Source organism: Homo sapiens, chromosome 8, assembly GCF_000001405.40.
Source record: "Homo sapiens chromosome 8, GRCh38.p14 Primary Assembly".
Classification (NCBI taxonomy): domain Eukaryota; kingdom Metazoa; phylum Chordata; class Mammalia; order Primates; family Hominidae; genus Homo; species Homo sapiens.
In genome coordinates, this window is record NC_000008.11 from 39,748,469 (window position 1) to 39,771,263 (window position 22,795).

The 22,795-nt window shown below is 36.2% G+C and overlaps 1 protein-coding gene across 6 annotated transcripts in view; it reads right to left on the bottom strand.

The window, feature by feature from the left end:
• Nucleotides 1-22,795, bottom strand: part of ADAM2 (ADAM metallopeptidase domain 2) — a 94,493-nt gene that overhangs the window by 4,734 nt on the left and 66,964 nt on the right. For 3 of the 6 annotated variants that reach the window (XM_011544479.1, NM_001278113.2, NM_001464.5), the window contains 7 exons: nucleotides 20,924-21,107; nucleotides 18,685-18,783; nucleotides 18,380-18,575; nucleotides 12,708-12,813; nucleotides 7,260-7,443; nucleotides 1,199-1,276; nucleotides 844-982 (listed from right to left, as the gene is read on the bottom strand). In XM_011544479.1, the coding sequence (XP_011542781.1) occupies nucleotides 844-982; nucleotides 1,199-1,276; nucleotides 7,260-7,443; nucleotides 12,708-12,813; nucleotides 18,380-18,575; nucleotides 18,685-18,783; nucleotides 20,924-21,107 (986 nt within the window). The remainder of the gene's footprint in view (nucleotides 1-843; nucleotides 983-1,198; nucleotides 1,277-7,259; nucleotides 7,444-12,707; nucleotides 12,814-18,379; nucleotides 18,576-18,684; nucleotides 18,784-20,923; nucleotides 21,108-22,795) is intronic. The other 3 variants (NM_001437784.1, XM_005273468.1, NM_001278114.2) reach the window with 2 other exon arrangements.

The window sequence follows — 22,795 nt, forward strand, 5'->3', positions numbered from 1 at the left end:
TTAAATATAATATTTCCAGATACTGGAATTAATAACTACCTATGACTCAAAATCAGAAAAATGGCTCTACTTGTATGTACATTTAGATTTTTATATCAAAGAAAATCTCCTGGTCCTAAGTATTATTGGATATGCCAGTTAACTTCTGGCTTTCTCTAAAATTCATCTAGGCTTTTCCTCTGCTTTGATCAATATCACAGGGAACCGCACTGCCCAAGTTCCTTGACCTGCTGTCTTCCAGTCAGTTTTGATCACTGGGAATCACTAAGTAATATCTGGAGGATTCGAAGAGTAAAAATAGCTCTGATATTATTCCCCCTTCCTCTCCAGAATCTCCAACAGTGACTGTATATTCTCTATACCTCCAGCTCATGCTGGACAGTTACTCTCCCTGTGGTTTCAATCCTGCTATACATCCCTGACCATAGTTATATATCATGCTAAATGGCCCAGAATCTGATTCTAGTAATACCACCTCTTTTTATTGTCCCTACAACCCTAAAAAGTGGTAGTCATTTTCTGGGTTGCCTCACCTTTCTCTGATTAATCTTCTCATCTATGCAATTACCGGATGCCTTACACGGTGTTCTTTCTGTTTGAAAGACTAAAGTGATTTCTGTCTTTATGCCTGGGCTCTGACTGATATATCATATTTATAACATATGCTACATATGTTGTAATATATTACTCTCTGGAAGTGGAAGTAACACATACACATTCATGTGCAGTTTAATGTCTAAACATAGTCTAGATATAAATTGGTAGACAAAATATTATTTGTTATCCAATTTAATAAATTCAAATTATGTTTTAATTATTTTCTGATTTATTATTAATACTTACCAGGGAGTCTGGCTGGTATAGCTACAGGTGGAAAATTGCCACTGTCAATACTCCCACCAGGCCATAGATCTGATTGAACTGAGCAATCTGGAGGTAAATATGAAGCACTACAGTGACAGTGCTTTTTGTTATTGCATACCTAAAAGAAGGAGAAATATCACCTTATAAGATAAGCAACTAGATTTATATATGTTCAAGTAGAATTATAAAATAATATGTAGGTCAGCTAAGGCCAATTTTCCTATATGTTTTGGTGTGTGTGTGTGTGTGTGTGCGTGTGTGTGTGTGTAGCAATGCAGTTTCCTAAAATTAGGCTCAATGATTTCTATTTTCACCTCATAGTACTGCTACTTACACCTCTATCATTGCATTTGTCAGTAGTACAATCATAACCCAAGTATGAAGAACTCACACATCTTTGATTCCTGCAAACCTAAAAAGGATGAGCAAAAATAAGTTAATTGACATGCCATCTAGAGTTGCCATTTAATTAAAAGCATTCCATACCATACCATATTACCATGGACTAATAAAAAGGGTATTGATTTAGCAACAAGAATTAGTATACTAACAATGAATAGTTAATGTATTGAGCTACTATGTTTCCAGCACTAGATGAGACTCTGATTATCTAGGAGTAAACAAAACAATAACAGCTTCTTCCCTGCTTAGACTGGGATAGCAGGGACAAATATGAAATGAGTAAAACACAAATAAGTACGTAATAAATGCTGTAATGAAAAAATTGATTTGTGAAGCGTAAAATACAGGAAATGTGTCAAATATTTGAGAACAGTTAAAACCTTCTCATTGAGCCCTGATGATAGATAGGACTTAATTAGTATAGAAATAAAAGACAGAGTATTATAAAAAAAGAAGTAATATTTAAAATGATTCTACCATGGAAGACCGTATTGAACCTTTGAGAAATCTAAAGGGCAGTGTGGCCATTCAGTCATTCATTAAATAAATATTTGAGTCCTACAAATGTACCTGGCCCCAAGAAGGCATCAGTGAACAACACAAATCTCATCTTGTTCATACCATAACAAAAGAGAGAGAAACAGACAAAAAACTCGATATTATATGAAAGAAGATATTATTGGCATGATTGTGTAGAATCTTATATTCTTCATGAGCAAGTTGGTCAAATATAGCAATTTGCTATATTTACATATTGGAAGAAGGAAAGCTGATAAAAGTAGGTTTTGGAAAAGAGAATGGAAAGGGCAATAGCCTATAGATACAAAGTTAGAATGTCATTGCTGTGGTCCACAAAAATGATAAGCATACAATGAAATTGAGTGGTAGTGAGGATAGAAACCAGTAGATGTATTTGAGATAGAAAGTTGAAACCAGCTGAGTTGGAGTAATATGCATAGTAAAAAGAGATGGGTGAATGACACCAAGGATTCTGACTTGTTTAATTCTCTTGCTGGTAGTTAAATCAACTGAGATAAAGAAAGTTAAGCATAAAGACAAAGGTTTAGTAATTGTTTTCAGAGATCTCTTTCAACCTATATCAAATAATGCTATGTTTCAAAAGAACAAGAAATGTTTAATGCACTCATACAAATACTCAAAGCGACTAATGGTAAGCCCAAGAACATGTAATTAGAAATATTTTTTATTTTAAAAGTTTGCTAAAGAATATTGGCAATATTTTGGGAGATTTTTCCTCTTATAATATAGGATCATAACACACTAACTTTTAAAGTCAGAGAGTTAATCTGTTCACATAGTTTTTGCCCAACATTATTGAGTATGAAAAAATACATTATTAATTGTGTTGGCTAATTACGGCAATGCATACCTCCATTTAAGATTTATGGGGAAATGGACTAATGATGAATAGATGGCCAGGTTATTTTGGATGGCTGTGGTAGTAGTATAAAAAGTACTAGCTCTGGATACTGGATACAGATTAGTGCTGCTGTAGTTATAAATCTATCTATTCTGTTAGCATGCTTCCTTCACACTTAACTACAATTTAAATACAGTAGTTAGATATATAATTTGCAGAGCTATTGTCCAGAAAAAAGTAAACCTAATTTTCAGAACCATTAAATATATTAATTGTCTAGAGAAACAAAAGTTGAGGAAGGGTTGTTGGTATTACTGGTACCCTTTTTCTGCAATGAAGTGTTTTTGTGGGTTTTTTTGTTTGTTTTTGTTTTTGTCTGGGTTTTGTTTGTTTGTTTGTTTTTGCTTTAACATGCCTGTGGCAGAGTGCTTAACTTCAGTTGTATCATGCAGGAAGCTTTGCTAGGGAAAAGCAGCATCCAAATAAAGAAGCTAGCTAAAAAAATTAAAAATTATTTATAACCATATAGCAATAGTAATATTACATAAAAAAAACAATTCTTTTTTATTCTTCACCAAACTCTCTAAAACAGATTTATTTTTGTTTTGAGATAAGAATCATAATGCAGCCTCCTTTATTATCACTAGGCGGAATAGGTTCCTACAGAAACCTTCTTGTTATGTAGGAACTAAAATGCTAAATGAAATAAAATCTGTACATACTCTTTTTTTTTTTGAGATAGGGTCTCACTCTGTTGCCCAGGCTGGAGTGCAGTGGCTTGGTCTCAGCTCACTGCAGCCTATGCTTCCTGGGTTCAAGCAATTCTCGTGCCTCAGCCTCTCAAGTAACTGGGATTACAGGCTTGTGCCACCACGCCCACTTAATTTTTGTATTTTCAGTAGAGACGGGGCTTCACCATGTTGGCCAGGCTCATACTCTTTTTTTAAAGGCATAGTTGTACCAGAGATAAAAATCATTTTTAGGTTCAGAAAATGTGAAACAGTGTGATTTTACAAAAGCAACCAAAACTGAAGGCAGCACTCCTCCAGTGGCCACCAATGACCAAGCATTTTGGATTTAAATGATCATTTGCACCCCCTACAACAGTGGCAGAATTAGAAGCAGGTTATATCAAACTTTCAATAAATAGTCTGGGGAGGTACATCAGAAAAACGGTGATATAGAAAACAAAACAAAATCTGGCTGAAATAACATTATAGGAGCTCTGGCAACAGTCAAAGGTCTACAGCAACCAGTAAAATACTGAAGAACACATTGTCACAGTCAAAATGGTAGAAAATTTTATGGCATTTTTGTCTGAATGAGGCAGCAGCTAAATTCTCAATCCCTTCCCTCAAACTGAAGGATGCAGCACAGATTTTATTGGCAATACTCTAACTTGTCTGGTAGCTGCCTTAAGGACTGGTTTCTGATTTGCCTAACTCAAATCTCAGATGGAAAGAAGCAGTATAGACTGCTAGGGAAAGGTGCAGGGAGAGTAACATTTGCAGACACCTGGGGCAAAAGATTACGGTGGAGATGTAATTGTAGCTCCCACAATAACGACAGTGTCATGGGAGAGACCTGGTGGGAGGTAATTGAATTATGGCGGCAGGTTTTTCCCATGCTGGTCTCCTGATAGTGAGTAAGTCTCATGAGATCTCATGGTTTTATAAAGGGCAGTTCCCCTGCACACACTCTCTTGCCTGCCTCCACGTAAGACATGCCTTTGTTCCTCCTTTGCCTTCTGCCATGATTGTGAGGCCTCCCCAGCCACGCGGAACTGTGAGTCCATTAAATCTTGTTTTCTATATAAATTACCCAGTTTCAGGCATGTCTTGATTAACAGCATGAGAACAGACTAATACAGTAAAATCGGTACCAGGAATGGAGTGCTGCTGTGAAAATACTAAAAAATGTGGAAGCGATTTTGGAACTGGGTAACAGCCAGAGATTGGAATCATTTGGAGGGCTAAGAAGAAGACGGGAAAATGTGGGAAAGTTTGGAAGTTCCTAGAGACTTGTTGAATGGCTTTGATCAAAATGCGCTTAGTGATATGAACAATGAAGTCCAGGCTTAGATGGTCTCAGATGGAAATGAGGAACTTCTTAGGAACTGGAGAAAAGGTGACTCTTGTTATGTTTTAGCAAGAAGAGTGGCAGCATTTTGCCCCTGCCCTAGAAATCTGTGGAACTCTGAACTTGAGAGATGATTTAGGCTACCTGGCAGAAGAAATTTCTAAGCAGCAAAGCATTCAAGAGGAAGCAAAGCATAAAAGTTGGAAAAATTTGCAGCCTGATGATGCAATAGAAAAAAAAAAAACCCATGTTCTGGGGAAAAATTTAAGTCTGCTGCAGAAATTTGCATAAGTAATGAGGAGTCAAATGTTAGTCATCAAGACAGTGGGGAAAATGTCTCCAAGGCATATCAGAGACTTTCATGGTAGCCCTTCCCATCACAGACACAGAGGCCTAGGAGGGAAAAATGGTTTCCTGGGCAGGGCCCAGGGTCCCCCTGCTCTATACTGCCTCAGGACTTGGCACCCTGCATCCCAGCCACTCTAGCTATGGCTAAAAGGGTCCAAGGTACAGCACAGCCCACAGCTTTAGAGGGTGCAAGTAATAGTAAATCCACCGGAATAGTAAATCCATTACCTCCTTAAAGCATAAATTTCACAGGACCTATAAAACAACAAAACACACACACACACACACTCACACACACACACACAAAACAAGGTATTCAGGCAAGAAATAGCATGAAAATGGGGCAATTTAAAAACCTGCCAACTTGCCCAGTGTTTGTAGAATGGCTCTATTCTGTGAAAGTTCTTTACTAATTAATTTAGTATTATCTTAATGTTGGGGTCAACCTGAATATAAAGCTTATGATCATCCCAGGTCCTTTCTGAGCATGCATCTTTCCTAAGCCTGTGTGTGGTTTTTTAGTTTCTCAAATACATGGTTGATTTAAAATGTATTATTTTTCCAACTCATCCCATCCTCGTCCTAGTGTTCTTAGATGGCTACTTGATGGGACATCACTTTTGTCATGAACACTGTGGCAGGGTACTGCCTGTCATATATCCTTCATCCCATTCACTAACTGTGGATATAACCAGAGTTCCAATCAACCCTTTTGAAGGCCATGTAAAGGAGGATCACAAACAAGATCTATAGCTAAAAACTGGACTGAGTCTGGATCATTGATGACATAATGGCACCCAATAACTGCTCTGGATGGACAACCTCCAAAATTACTTTGTATTATGGGAAAAAAATAACTACCAACGATTTAAGCCACTCTTGGTGGTTCCCATTTCCTGTGCAATTCCTACCTCACATAACGTATTTTAGCCTATTTAGAAACAATGGAGAATTTAAAATGTAAGATAGTCTTGGGCATTAATTTGGTAAGACATTTTCAAAGTAAATTTAATAAAAGCAAATGTGTTGCACAATTTTTTAAATGACTTACATTTTGTGTGAGAATTTGAATGACAGTTTTTTTATTTGTATACACTCTTACTTACTAATTTTCTAAATGAATATTAGTAAAGTTAGCATAGTTTTCCTTTCCCTCTTTTCTTCAATAAGGGGCTTACTGTATTCTGTTACTTATTAAGCCAGAGAGGCTTTATAATTTAAACATGAGACTAATTTGAGCTTGCACCTCCTTGTGTATATACGTGTTTGTATGTATTTCATATTTCATATAATAAAAAAATCTAGGAAGGCAAAAACTGTTGATATGTATGCATAGGTACCATATTGAATGCAAAGTAAGAAAGATAGTTATGTAGACAGATAAATATTCTACAACTCCATGTGTGTGTGCATGTCTATGAAAAATTGATGGAAGGTTCATAAAAATTAAGTTATTACATCTCAGATATGCGACTGGATTGATTTTTTTCTTTATTCTGTGAGTTTGTTTATTATTTTCATCAGTAAAATGGGCATATATTATTTTAATGGCTATTTTAAAATGATTATATCAAAAGATAATTTATGACATTAGATGTATTCTCTGTGTGATATGAGATATTTAATAAAATACAGTAAATGAACAACGCAGTTCTCAATTCAGTGAATACACATAATTTCAATGAAAAAGTTACTAAATAACCAGCGAAATAGTCATAGCAATGTCATATATGCATGATTGCAAATATTTTATTCTTTTAAAGTTTGTTTTTTCCTGATTTTCTGTATTGAATATGCACTTAAATTCTGAGAAAAAATACTAATTATGTATCATTTAAGAACAGAGTCTAGGCCAGGTGCAGTGGCTCACGCCTGTAATCCCAGCACTTCAGGAGGCTGAGGTGGGTGGATCACCCGAGGTCAGGAGTTTGAGATCAGCCTGGCCAACACTGTGAAACTCCGTCTCTACTAAAAATACAAAAATTAGCCGGGTGTGGTGGTACCACCTGTAATCCCAGCTACTCAAGAGGCTGAGGCAGGAGAATCACTTGAACCTGGGTGGCAGAGGTTGCAGTGAGCAGAGATCACACCACTGCACTCTAGCCAGGGCAAGAGTGACACTCATCTCAAAAAAGGGCAAAGTCTAAAATATTAGGAAATTATTTGGGAATAAAAGACTACCTACCTTATTTGAACCACAAGAAGTTCCATCTTTTATCCACATCTTTTGGCTGTCTGCATGATCACTGGCAAATTCCACAGCAATGCAGAGATGTCCACTTATGTTGGCATAAATAATAGTGGCTCTTGGAATTTGTAATAAAAATTTACCTACATATTTACATATTAATTTTCCGCACTGCAGATTGCTATAATTTATCCACAAATAAAAATTATTAATTTTAATTTAGAGAAGTACAAGAATATAATTTTTAAAATAGATAGATTTAAATAAAGTATTCAAGGTTTGCAAGCTAATACATGCAATTCGTTTTAAAACACCAAAAAAAGAGCCTTGCCTAAATTGCCAATAATAACTGAACATTTTAGTAATTAATTATGAACTAAGGTTGGTGCAAAACTAATAGTGGTTTTTGCCACTTTTTTAATGGCAAAAGCCGCAATCACTTTTGCACCAACCTAATATTCCCTAGTTAGCCTGACAACTTTTTTTGTGATTCCTTCACTTTCCTTTGAATCTGAAACAAAATCAAACCCAAGCTCAAATGAATTTAACATCTGTTCACCTTTTCAGTGATTTTAAAAATGAAGATTTCAAGGTCACTCATATTAATTAACAAAAATAACCATTAATTAATACTACAGGGTTATCACTATATATATCACATAGGTAGTATGTCCTACAGATTAATGTGAGCATTTGCCTACAGTACATGCTACAAACCATAAGATTTTTATTTGGCCCTTGCATCCTGTTTGGAATCTTAAATGCTACCACATGACCATTGCTACATCAGAAGATTCAGGAAACCATGGAGGCAGAGAGACTAACCCTAGATCAACTGCATATGTTGAGATAGACAACATATGTTATCTAAATAGCCTCCTAATCAGCAAAATCTCAGCAGTGATGAAAATCTAAATGTCTTCAAGCAATTTTCTATGGCCTGAACTTTTCTCCCTTTGGCCAAAAGAAGACAACGAAAATGGGCAACCCAGCCCCTGAAGTGGCCAGGAGTCATCGAGGAAGGACTTGGAGTTGATAAAAGCTGTTCTGCACTCATAGTGCACACACCAGTTAAACATTAAGTAATTTCATAGAACATCAACCTTAGGCAAAGCCATTCTGTGATCATGAAAGATTAAGAAAATAAGCAAGCTCACTTCATAGATCATGTATGAACACAGAGGAGAAACAAACATTGTCCAAGCCACAGTTACTGGACATTCCCAGGATTCAACTAATATGTGTGACTATTGCTTCTTTAGCAATTACAACTTTAGCTTCACTTTAGTCTTCCCTCTTCATATATAAGATTAAGATATACAATCATACAATTATTAATATCTCTACTTTAAAACATCTAATTTACAGCAAAGGTCTATTTCCTGAAACCTTCCTAAAATCACCTAACCCAAGTCCAAATCTCTAGAACTGGCATACTCCACAATTTCTCATGATGCGATTTCTCACCACTCAACATGTAAAAAAACCCAACTTGCTCAACTACGGCTGCCTTCTTGGTGGTCTTTGGCTGGAAGGCATTGTAGTAAGGTAGAACTGTAATCTGAAACACACATGCTCACACTTTGAAGACACCGGAATGTAACCAGAAAGGAAAGGACTATATAACTGAGCTTTAAGAATGGGAACTGCAGCACCAGATATTCTGTAGATGTGGCTTTGTTTAATAATTTATGAAAGCACATCCAAGGTTGAAGATTCTTAGCTTGAATAATCCCAGGACATTATTAAAATACGGGTCTAATGTCAGTTAGTTGACTGGAAACTTAGACTGAGAACTGAAATCTGAATATAAATTTCAGGTTTATATTCAGCCTGAAACCTGGATGACTACTGAACTAATTAAGCTTGTGTGGTGAAGAATCCAGGGAGCACATAAAAAGCATCTCCCAGAGGCATAACGAAATGAACAATGTTTTCAGCTCCTGCTCAGAGACAGGTTTGCTTTATAGTTTGAGTCCAGCTATGTTAAATCCTTTCCATTACAAAATTCTAGCCTTCAGAAAAGCAAAAGTGAATGCAATTTCCGTTATGTATTAGTCATATTATATGATACAAAGTTAAGAAATATGCTAAACACACATAGAAAAAGTAAAATATAACATAGAGGGCAAATAAATTACTAGATACCAACACCAATACTACACAGACATTTCATTCAGCAGAGAAGCCCTTTAATGCAGCTTATATAAAAAGGATCAATGATGAAAAGGAAAATATAGTCATAATAGCTAGAATTTTCTTTCAGTAAGTATATGCTTTAGCAATTATAAAGCAAATTTCTGTGCATTTGGAACTTGAGTATATGAGGAAGCAACTTGTATACTAAAATGTACTTTATGGCACTTAATTGGAATTAGAATTATCACTAAGTTCATGTCTTAAATTCAGAGATTTACATGAATGAATATGTGATACATGTATGTGCATATATGAAATGCATGTTCTAGCTCCATTGACTGACAGGCTTGAGAGGTAATGAGAAGAAAAAAAAAGAAATAAAGGGCCACCATATCTGAAATTTACTCTCAAATATTTCAGAAAAGCAATTATAAAGCAATATATACATATAGTTACAAAACTGTATGTGTTTATAATGTGTGTATTTGTATATTTGTGTGTATATTATATGTAATGAAAGAGAGAGACAGAGACAGAGACAAAGAGATAGAAAATGATAAGCCAAATGTGTTAAAATGCTAAAATTTGGAAAATTTGAAGGGTATACAGGAATTATTTGCACTATTATTCTAACTTTTATATGTCTGAAATTGTTTCCAAATAAAAACATTAAAAAATAAAAAGTCAGTAAAAATAAAAAAAATTTAAAAAAAAAAGAAATAGTAGACATGCACACAGCTGGTGCTTAGGTATTTATTTTCAAATACCATCTTCTAAGAAAAGGAACCAAGGCTCCTTGGATGAATAGCTGAATCCAGAGCAGAAGTAGAAGAAGCTCAATGCAACCTACAACATCTTTTCTTGTGCTAGAAAAATTTGGAAGTTATTAAAAAGTCCTACAGACTTTTGAAAAGGACACATTAACCAGCTCAAAGGGATTCCCAATAGTCAAAATTAAGAGAATTTGAGAAAGTATCAAAATAATGATAGTAATGTATTTTATCCTATTAAATAAAATAACAATTATTGTGTCTAAACTGATATATATATAGATAAGTAAATAAAAATATAGAAGTGACTACTTCTTCCTACAGTACATTTCTAGATAATAAAGGCAAAGTCAATAATACAGTTAGAAAATCACTAATGGATTTTAAAACTAGTTAGTTAAAGTTTGAGGAGAAACAGAATATGCCCAGGGTCTCAATATAACTCCTCCAAAATTACATATTAAACCCAAAAGGAAAATAGTAATTTCACAGTTGAAAGATTTAGAGAATAATGACTTTATCAAAACATTTAACCTAAAATGTCCAATACTGAAAGAAAATGGCATGTACCTTTAAAAAAATCCAGGGTACAACAACATCACTTCAGTGATAAACATGCCAAAATGTATCACTTACACATAATTATGAAAAATTTCAAAGAAACCTAAATTGTGGGAAAATTCTACAAATTAGTTAACCGATAGTATTAAAAAAAACTAATAAAAAGAAACACAAATAAAAACAAAAATGTTCCAAATTAAAGAACTCTAAAAATACATTAGGAGTAAATGTAAATATCTGACACTGGGTTTGTTCCTGAACAAGGAAAATAGCCTAAAATTACTCAAAACAATGAATGAAATTTCAATATGAACTATGTTTGATAGCTACAATAAGTTATGTAAGAAAATATCTTTATTTTCAAGATAAACACATGGATATATTGAGGAATAAACAAGCACAGTTTTCAACTTACACTCAAACCTTTCAGAAAAATAATTATGAAGAGAGGAGAGGAGAGAAGAGTTGGAACAACAGAAGGGTAAAGCAACAGGAAAAATGTAAACAACCTGTAAACCTAGGCAAAGGGTATATGGGAATTCCTTGCACTATTCACGAAAACTATAAAGTTTATTACAGAAGTTTTACTTTACTTTTGAAATAATATCAACATAAAATTTTACAGCAAAGGAATGGGTATCAGTAACATTCTAGTTCTAATTTATTTATTTATTTTTTATTTTTGAGGTGGAGTCTCGCTCTGTCGCCCAGGCTGGACTGCAGTGGCGCGATCTCGGCTCACTGCAACCTCTGCCTCCCAGGTTCAAGCGATTCTCCTGCCTCAGCCTCTCGAGTAGCTGGGATTACAGGCAACCGCCATCATGCCTGGCTAATTTTTGAATTTTTAGTAGAGACGGGGATTCACCAGGTTGGCCAGGCTGGTCTCTAACTCCTAACCTCAGGTGATCTGCCCGCCTCAGCCTCCCAAAGTGCTGGGATTACAGGTATGAGCTACCCCGCCCGGTCTTCTAGTTCTAATTTACAAAATAATAGTAACAGATAATAGTTAGCACTCATATAGTACATACTATGTATCAGTCACCATTCTAAGTGTTTTTCATACAGCGTCTATGTTTCCCACTGGCACCAAACTGGTGATGCGTTATTAATATTCATATATTACATATTAAAAAAAACTGAAATACGTGCCTGAGGTCACACAAATAGGTAAAGAGTGGGATTAGGATTTAAAATCAAAATGTCTGGCTGTAGAGCACATGTTCTTAAATACCACGCTTTGGCCAGGCGCGGTGGCTCACGCCTATAATCCCAGCATTTTGGGAGGCCGAGGCAGGTGGATCACGAGGTCAGGAGATCAAGACCATCCTGGCTAACACGGTGAAACCCCGTCTCTACTGAAAACACAAAAAATTAGACGGGCGTGGTGGCAGGCGCCTGCAGTCGCAGCTACTCGGGAGGCTGAGGCAGGAGAATGGCGTGAACCCGGGAGGCGGAACTTGCAGTGAGCCGAGATAGTGCCACGGCACTCCAGCCTGGGGGAGAGAGTGAGACTCCTTCAAAAAAATAAAATAAAAAAATAAAAAAAAAACACATTTTGCTCCTTAAGCAGTAAAAATTCGTGTATTTTAACTTCTTTACTATGAGGATTGTCATGCTTTGTAAAAATTAAAGTAATAGCACCACTGCATTCCAGCCTAGGCAACAGAGTGAGACTCCATCTCAAAAAAAAAAAAAAAAAAAAAAAAAAAAATTAAAGTAATAGCATGCACAATAAAAATGATTACTGATGGGTAATTAATGTACCTGTATGAAAACTAAACACTTTGTGGAAAAGTACAAGGGATAATTTGGTTATAGGAGAGGAGAAATGTGTCTATGATATTTATAATTTGAATAAACATGGTCTTACTTTATGTTCAGGGGATATTTTGCTTACATAAACTTAATTGTTTGATGGTATTTTCAAATATAAGGTGATAAATAGAAGTTCTAAGACAGATTTCTGAAAACATACTCAGCTTCACACTGTGTGTATCCTGAATCACTTATACCACAGTTTCCAGATACATCAGTCTTTGAATTAAGGTGAGAATAACATTCTGAAGGGCCAAACTCTACTTCTGAAAATAAAAAGGTGAGGTTAGTCATATTAAACTTATATTAATTAAAAATAAATAACAAATACACTTAAAATTCTGAAAGGGTTTAAGATATTCATTGTACAAAATAAGATCATACTATAACATTCAAAATAAAAACTAGATTTAAGATCACACAAAACTACTTCAATGAAATGTTTAAAAATTGAAAGGACTCTGGTCTACTATTCAAAGACATATCCTAGACATACTCCAGAGTTAGCCACTGTATTGTTTAACCTCTAATCATAGTAAGTCTATAAATGCATATCTATTAGTACGTAGGAAACTTTTTTCACATAATTGACTTATTTGTCAAATAAACAGTTTTAGCATGAATGTCTTTTCAAGTCAAACAACTAACCAATTATCTTGTTTTACATCATAATTTCCTTAGACAAGAAATATATTGGAGTCACAATTGATTCATTCACCCTCCCATCATCCAATCCACATGCATAATCTGTATAATTTTAATTCTCATAAGATCCAACCTACATGGCCGGGCGCGGTGGTTCATGCCTGTAACCCCAGGACTTTGGGAGGCCGAGGCGGGCGGATCACGAGTTAAGGAGATCGAGACCAGCCTGTCTAACACAGTGAAACCCCGTCTCTACTAAAACTACAAAAGAAAATTAGCCGGGCATGGTGGCAGGCGCCCGTAGTCCCAGCTACTTGGGAGGCTGAGGCAGGAGAATGGCGTGAACCCTGGAGGCAGAGCCTGCAGTGAGCCGAGATCGCGCCATTGCACTCCAGCCTGGGCGACAGAGCGAGACTGCGTCTCAAAGGAAAAAGAAAAAAAAGCTTCAACCTACTTAAAAAGCAGTTTATTTCTCATAACCTCCAACTGCTCTACTTGATGGACTCGGTCAAAAATCTTTGACAGGGAGACTTAACCACTACATAATGTTGCTGCAGCATGAATGCTCAATAACAGAGTGGACAGACTCAGATCTCAGCTGCGACCCACAGATGATGTAGTGAACTGAAAAGTAAAAGTTCATTTTGTCCCAGAGGTCATTTGCAAGGCTGGTTATGGGTAAGAAGTCAAAATTTTAACCTTGGCTATGGTAGCAAGCCATTGCTGGTAGACAAAAAATAGGCCAAAACAAAGAAAGCCGCAATCTACAGATCAAAATGAATTTTAGGCATCCAAGAGAAACTACTGAAAGACGGTGTGATGATACATTTTATGTATCAACTTGGTTAGGCTATAGTCTCAAGTTATTCAATTAAACACTAATCTAGGCATTGCTCTGTAGGTATTTTGTAGGTGTAATGAAGTCTACAATAAGTTTATTTTACTTAAGAAATATTATCCTAGATAATGTGGATGGGCCTGATTCAATTATTAATAGTTGAAAGACCTTTACAGCAGGCTTCCCTGAAAAAGAAAAAAATTCTGCCTGTGGACTTCAATTTATGCTTAAAATTTCTATTCTGCCCTTTTAATTGTCTTGCCCTACAGATTTCAGGCTTGCCTAGCCAGCCCCACAATCTGATCAGCCAATTATTTGCATAGATATATACACAAAATTTTATATACAATAAAATATCTATATACCTATATCTATCTATCTACAGAGAGGAAGAGAGAGTGCAGAATTACATATCCAATGGATTTTGTTTCTCTGGTGTAGTTCTGGTTGATAGAATTGATAAACAAAGGGGTCGGTGATGTTTTAACTTGGGCATATTCTCATTTGTTCTCAGTGTCTCATGACAGATGAAAGCCAGCAGGCTTACAGCTAATGAAGAGGTCACATCTCCGTTGGAGCTCTGTGAAAGCGCTATGCCCAGAGGCAGCCAATAATTTATCTAAATATTTTATCTAAACTTTCCATTCCCTGGAAAAATCTCTGTTACCAGGTGGCTAGGGCTACTTGATTTGATTTAGAGCTCAGTTAAGTGAAAAAAAAAATGAATAAAAAAAATCTTGGCTTTCAGAGTGAGGTAAATTAGATAGGTTGGTCATAGCATCCCTTAAATGAGAACAAACTTGCAAAATAGATGGCGAGAATAAACCTCCCAACAGTGCAAAAACTGCATCCTGGGATACTGGTTAGAACATCCTGCAGCAAGGAGGTAAAGAAACATAAGGGAAAACACCCAAATTGGTTCAAGTGCAGAAACCCATGATTTGTGTCCTTGGAGTGACCTATGTTCATTATAATAGTAAAAAAGGCACCCTTGGGTGGAGAATTAAAATGCTAATGAGAAATGTGATGCATGTACTGGCATGTACAGCAATAGCACATGTGCATTCAGGAGACCACCTACAACATGCTAAACAACAATGCCCACTCCCACCCTTTTATGAATAATCATGTTAGGCTCCAATAAAGGGAGTTTCCTCAATGCCAACCGACGCTCTTATTCTTGTGCAGCCTGCTATCAGAGCGTACTTTGCTTTGCAATGAACTTCTTTATTTACTTTCCCTTTGGACTTGCTCTCAAATTCTTTTCGGCAGTGAAGTAAAGAATCTGAACCGGTTCACTGACAACAAAGGCATTACTGAAATAATATAAATCTGCTACCAACATCACCAGTGCCTAAGGCTGTGATTTCAGTTGAGGCAAACAAGAGCTCACTGGAAATTTTAAAGGAATTCCTGGAGAGTTAGATGACTATGTGAAACAGAATAGCTCAAACCTATTGTTCACTCTGGGTCAGATTTATCAGTCACAAAATGATTAGCTGTTTTTCAGTTGCCATCGACCCCCAGGTTGCCAATCAAATAGTCTGAACCTGAGCAGGCTGGAACTGAAGTACTCAGTTTGAAATATTCAAATCTAGGAGCATGGAACAAATTAAGAAGCAAAGGGTCAGATGCAGTGGCTCACTTCTTTAATTCCAGCACTTTGGGATGCCAAGGCAGGAGGATTACTTGAGACCAGAAGTTTGAGACCAACTTGGGCAACACAGCAAGACCTCACCTCTACAAAAAAAGAAAAAGAAAAAATAGTGGGCATGGTGACATGCATCTGTAGTCCCTGCTACTTGGGAGGCTGAGGCAAAAAGATCACTTGACCTTGGGAGTTGGAGGCTGCAGTGAGCTGTGATTGCATCACTGTACTACAGTTTGGGCAAGACCCTCACTGCCCTCTTCCCCTCAAAAAAGAAGGGAGGGGAGTCCTGTTTTATTGCAGTAAAAACTTAAAAGCTGAGGACCTGGCACCGCCTCTTTGCATGACCAAATCAGAGCCTTTCTCATCTCTCTCATAGTTACCATCTGCCTATATAACCTGCCCCCAGACGCCAGCTTAAGGAAACAGATTTGAGCATTGCCTTTTGTCTCCTTGCTGGTGGACCTCACAATAAAGCTTTCTCTTTTCTTGGAAGCTGGTGCTATTAGTGTTGGCCTCTATGCACATCCGGAAGTGAACTCATTGCTTGGTAACAATGTAACTGGATCTAAAATGCTGCACACAGGCCAGGCGCAGTGGCTCAAGCGAGTAATCCCAGCACTTCGGGAGGCCCAGGCAGGCAGATCACCTGTGGTCAGGAGTTCGAGACCAGCCTGGCCAACATGGCAAAACCCTATCTCTATTAAAAAATACAAAAATTAGCCGGGTGTGGTGGTGTGTGCATCTAATCACAGCTACTCAGGAGGCTAGGAGGCTGAGGCAGGAGAATCACTGGAACACGGGAGGTGAAGGTTGCAGTAAGCCAAGATCACACCACTGCACTCCAGCCTGAGCGACAGAGCAAGACTCCGGCTCCAAAAAATAAATAAATAAATAAATAAATAAATAAATAAATAAATAAATAGCTGCACACATACCTAGAATAGTTCTGAGAACAGAGAGTTTTCTAGTCACTCCTTACTCTATGATGTTTAGGTCCTGAACAAGCAGGAAGTGAAAGCTAAGGCTGTCTTATAAACTGCTTGAAGTTTGAATCTGTCTTCTCATAGAGATACTTTTGGCATAGGGTAGAAAACATATAGCCAAGGCATTAAAGGAAATTGGAAAGACTATTGGTGGCCACTAAATAATACTGATGTAGAGTGCTCCTTAGGAAGCACTCTGGGTCCATATAATTGAAAGAGAAGACTCAAATAAATAAAATCTGAAATGAAACAGAAAACATTACCACTGATACTACAATGATACCTTATGATATGAAGAATATAAGAGACATATATAAATAGAACAACTATATGCCAACAAATTTGATAACAGAAAAAATAGATAAATTCCTGGACACATCCAACTTACGAATATTAAATTATGAAAAAAGTAGAAAATCGGAATACACCAACGATTGAGGAAATTAAATCAGTAATTAAAAAGTTTGTCTTTTGCTCCCTCTTCTTTCTTTCTGCCTTTCTGTCTCTTTCTGTCTCTATTTTCCTTCTTTAATCTGAAAATCATCCACATTGTGGTACCAAATTACCCATTTTCCCAGGACAACACTTTTTCATTTTGTAAGTTTCTTTCTTTGCATCTTTGTTTTGTTTTTCTTCAAACCAACAGTCATTCCTAATTTTATGTTCATTTTGGTTAGTGATAAGTGCTTTGCAATCCCTTTTTACACAGAAATTAGAGTTAGACTTGCAACTTGTTCCAGTTGAGAATAAAGGTGACCACCTATCTGTTTCTATGAACATCCTAAATGTTTCCTCTGTCAATTGTTCCTGATTTTTTCGATATGGGGATGAAATACTGTTGGCATTGTTGCTGTTTCCATATTATTTAGCAAACAATTTTGTATATAGTTTGCACCATGGTTTTCTTTTTTGTTTTTAACGTCAGTGCACATCATCCCTCAATAACTTCAGAGTCCCTGGATTTTCATGAAATTTCCTTATTGTTTCCACAGGTGATTTTATGCACCTGAATGTGTGTGCCTGCATTAAATGTGGTTTGAACTGTATTTATATGACAACTTATAATTACTTTAATGTCTATAGTCATATTACTTATTCCATATTTACCAAAACAAGGGATGGATATGAAGTAAAAGTATAGTTTGTGTTCTCTCTACTTTCTTCCTTCTTGAACTCAGAAGTCCCATAGACTTTGAATCTTTCCCTCTATTATTTTGATGAAAGTAATTAATAATGTAATGATTTCACTTTTAATTAAATTAATTTTTAATTTCTAGCTACTGATATTTTTTCTGACAGTATTCTCTTTTTTTTTTTTTTCTTTTGAGGTGGAGTCTCACTCTTTCTCCCAGGCTGGAGTGCAGTGGCGTGATCTCAGCTCACTGGAACCTCAGCCTCCTGAGTAGCTGGGATTACAGGCATGTGCCACCACTTGCGGCTAATTTTTGTATTTTTAGTAGAGACAGGTTTTTGTCATGTTGGCCAGGCTGGTCTCAAACACCTGATCTTGGGTGATCTGCCCGCCTCGGCCTCCCAAAGTGCTGGGATTACATGCGTGAGCCACCGCGCCTGGCCGTATTCTTCTCTTTCTATAATTCTTTAGAATATTTAAACTAAATGTGACATTTTAAAAATCACAATCATGTATCAGCATCTATTTCTGTTCAGTTTCCAGAAAAAAACGCATATATGAGAAATCAAATGATAATAAATACCTTTGCCAAATGTGTCTGTACATTGTTTATCCCCACTCATACAAACTCCATCTATACAGATCCATTGATTCAGTCCACACGGATGCCCAGTCTGAACATAGTGGTTTTCTGGGCATGATGCAGATGATCCATTGCAATATTCAGGGAGGTCGCATTCTTCAAAGGAAGGCCTACACATTCTTTCTTTTGACATAAACTGATGGGATGAGGTAAATGATATTGAATTAAGCAGAATGAGAATACATAAGCATAATAATGATAACTACTTATGTAGGTAATATTGAAATTTTTCAAAAAGCTCTTACTAGACAGTTTTCGCAGCATGGTCCTTCAGCACAGTTTGAACCGGCTTTAAATCTACATGTGGCAATATCACAGCATGTTTCTCCAATAAGGGCACAATCCTGTAAGGCAAATCAAATGCTCTGAAGTATTTTCCAACTTGTATTCATATTGGACAGGCATGTTCATAAAGACAACATATTATATAACATACACATAGGTGCTTAACTTACATGTTGGCAAACAGAAAAATAAAACCACTTATTCATTTACTTAACAGACATTTATTAATTACCTACTAATTGCCAGACCATGTGTTGCTCATATTGCTATAATAGGTTTGGTTACACTGATAAAAGGATTCTCTGAAGCCCTGGGGTCCACCATAGCCAAGTCACTGAGAAGAGCTCTGGCTCTTGTAGACAGAGATAGTTAAATACAAGACGTAAAATAAACAGAAGTTATAATTTAAAAATTATATTGCAGTGACTACTTCTTATTAGAGTCTTCTGAATATAATATTTTAACAAGTTTCTGCATTTTATGGTATATTGTTGATTTATTTCATTTTTAACTCCCTAATTAAGGTCTGGAAAATGATATTATTTCTGAGAATGCTGAAGTTGTCACCTTTATATCATTCACTCATATCTTATTATGCCTTGTTTTATGCTTTAGTTCATCTATGCCCAGTGAATATGCTTTTAAAACTTCTATTACTAAAGTTAGTAAAAGCAATAGATAAGAAGGCTAAAAGACAATGCATTCACACACACACACACACACACACACACACTCACATTTTTTAAATACCCAGAAATTTAAAATAGGGTAAATTGGAAAAAGAAATTTGATAAATCACAAAAAGATAAATCATGAGTTTAGTAGTCTTCATATGAGTTATAGCAAGATACTTGGAAGCACAGAGTTGTCAGTATTTTTCACAGCTATTCTAAGAATTGTCACTGTCATTGCTATCTACTGTAATTCTAGAGGGGAAAGTTATATCTCAGTGGTTTAAGCCTCAATTATATAACATTTCGAGAGCTTAGATACATGATTGTCAAATTGAAGAAGAAATTTTCAAGATGTTTCCATTCAAACCCAACCAAGCAAAAACAAGTGGGTGACGAGGAACAATTTTTTAAAAACATATCACATATCTCAGGATCTATAAACATACTTTTAAGGTTGGAAGGCTACATGAGTGACCATTGTAGGGCACAATGAAGTCTACTTAGTCTTTGTGATCCTTTTGAGCCTGTACCATTCACTATGAGTTTCAATATCTCCTTTCCCTTATTTCATTCCCTTTATCTCTGCTCTCCTCACCTCCCTTCAACCCAGGTGCTTTATCTAAGATTTCTGTGGTTTGAGAAAACTAGCTCTTCTTAATTATGTATGTTACAAATCTTTTTGACTTAAATATCGACCTGGATTAAAATATTCAAAAACCACAAATGTACTCCCTAGGTTTTCTGGCTCCATAGTGAAAGCTTTAAAATATCTCTCTTTCTGAACAACAAAGGAATTTAGGTTAAATACTAGTTTTAAATTTTAGGCTTAAAAACTAGGGAAGTATATACTCAAGAGGAAAAGATTGAACCTACATCAACTCAGCTATGAAATTAGTGGCCTTGAAAATTGCTTATATGAGAGATTAGAATGGTGCTTACCAGGGACTTCAGGGAGGGGAAAATAGGGAGATGATGGTCAAGGGGTATAAAATTTCAGTTCTGCAAGATGAATACGTTCTAGAGATCAAACATGACTACAGTTAACAATATTGTATCATATACTTGAACTTTGCTAAGAAGGTAGATTCTTAGTGTTCTTGTCAGAAAGGAAAATTTTTGAAAAGCAAAAGAAAAGGAAAAAATAAAATGCTATGGTGAGATTACAGGTATGTTAGTTATCTAGATTTTAGTAAATATTTCAAAATGTACTCATATACTCAATCATCAAGTTGTATAACTTAAATATATACAATTTAAAATTGTCAGCTATACCTCAAGAAAGCTAGAATAAATAAAGGAAAATTACCTGTATATTCATACAAATCCACGTAGATCCACAAAGCACTGAAGCACTACACCAATATATATAAGTGCACTCATTAGTTGTTATAATACCTACATGCCCTCCTGAATCATTTGCAGAAAATTTAGCTTGATGAATTAAGGAAAATGGCAGTTTCTCACTCGAATTAATAAGTAATTTTTGCTGCAATTTCAGTGCGTAGTCTTCCGAATTAGTACCAACCTGTTCAGTCCCACAGTCACACTCCTCTCCTGCTTCCAGCTTTGCATTACCACACACTGCTTGCTGTTTGAAAAAAGGATCTAAGCGAGGCTGATTGTGAAGACACTGGGACTTCTGCTTTGAAATAAAATGTGCAAAGTCTTCGAAGCTGCAGTTACTAAAGATCTTCACACCACTGAAATGACTAAAGACACATCAAACGTCAAATTTTAATGTAAGGGTTTCCATAAACTACCTACCCTTAGAATAAACCTATACAACAGCATTCCACAACAGACCAAATTCCCAAGTCTGTGAGTGTCAATGCTTTCAATCTCTGTGCATGGGAAGTCAACTGTGCAAGAATGTAAATATTTTAGTGGAAGTAAATTACTAATCCATAAAGTTTTATTGGCTCTCCTATGACACTTATTCATGACACTGCTCTCTCTTGTTTAAGCTCCTATTTTCCAAAGTGCCCCATGCTGTTTCATTTGTGCTCTTTCTTTTTATAACTTCTAAGTGCTGGGACACCCCTGTATTAATAAAGAAAACAGGCTTTTCTTTTTTTTCTTTTTTCTTTTTTTTTTTTTTGAGACGGAGTCTCACTCTGTCACCCAGGCTGGAGTGCAATGGCATGATCTCTGCTCACTGCAATGTCCATCTCCCGGTTCAAGCAATTCTTCTGCCTCAGCCTCCCAAGTAACTGGGATTAGAGGGACACGCCACCACGACCTACTAATTTTTGTATTTTTTTTAGTAGAGATGGGGTTTCACCATGTTGGCCAGGCTGGTCTAGAACTCCTGACCTCGTGATTCGCCCACCTAGGCCTCCCAAAGTGTTGGGATTACAGGCGTGAGCCAACGCGCCCAGCCCAGGCTTTTCTTTTTTTAAGAAATCTATATTTATTCATAGGTTATTTTATCCATGTCTATAGTTGCAAATAGCGTCTATGCCCAATAGCTCCGATATTTGTTTCTCTGGCGTTATCACCTGAACTCAAGTCCAGAGTCTAATGCTTTATTCAGTGTTTCTTCTTAAGTGTATTTTATTGGCACCTTAAATATAAATTCCCAACACTCTTGATTCTTCTCCCCAAAAACACCCCTCACAAAGTATAACACAGTGTTTCAGAATGTGGACTCTGTGGCCAATCAAAACAAATGAGTTAAAGTCTTGGTTTTGCCATTTACAGGTTGTTTGTCCTTGTAAAAGATTTTAAAATTATATGCAGTTTAGTTTCCTCCTTGCAATATGAAGATAAATGTTTTATTTATCTCATAAAGTTGTGAGAGTATCATACATGTAAAGTACTAAAAACTGTGCCTATCCATAGTTTGTACTCCTAATATTTTCAAATTCACTACAGGGAAATTCCAACTGCCTAGTTGCTCAGGACAGAAACCTTGAGGTTATCTTATATTTCTCACAAACCCCTTATCTGCCATGAAATTTTGTCAAATCTGTCTACTTTCTATATATTCAATATGTGTTCTCCACAACAACCACTTACAGACTTTATGGTCTTTCACTACAGATTAATGCAATAGCCTACTAGCTCATCATATGCTTTGATTCTTGCCCTTTGCATTTTTTTCCTCAAAACTCAATCAATTATGTTTCCTAAAAAAGTGGCAATTTCATATTACTTCCATGTTTAAATTCACCTATAGTTACTCAATCATTCAGAGCAAAATCAGTGCGATGTATTCACCAACTCCTCCGAGGTCATTCTCCTCATCAACCTCAACTCACTCTGCTCAAATAGGTGGACCTCTTACTGTCCCCTCCATCAAATAGTCTACTATTTCCTCTGCCTGGAAAACTATTCCTTAGTATGCATGCATGGTTCCCTTTCATTCATTTCACATGTCTATACAAAATTTATGCAA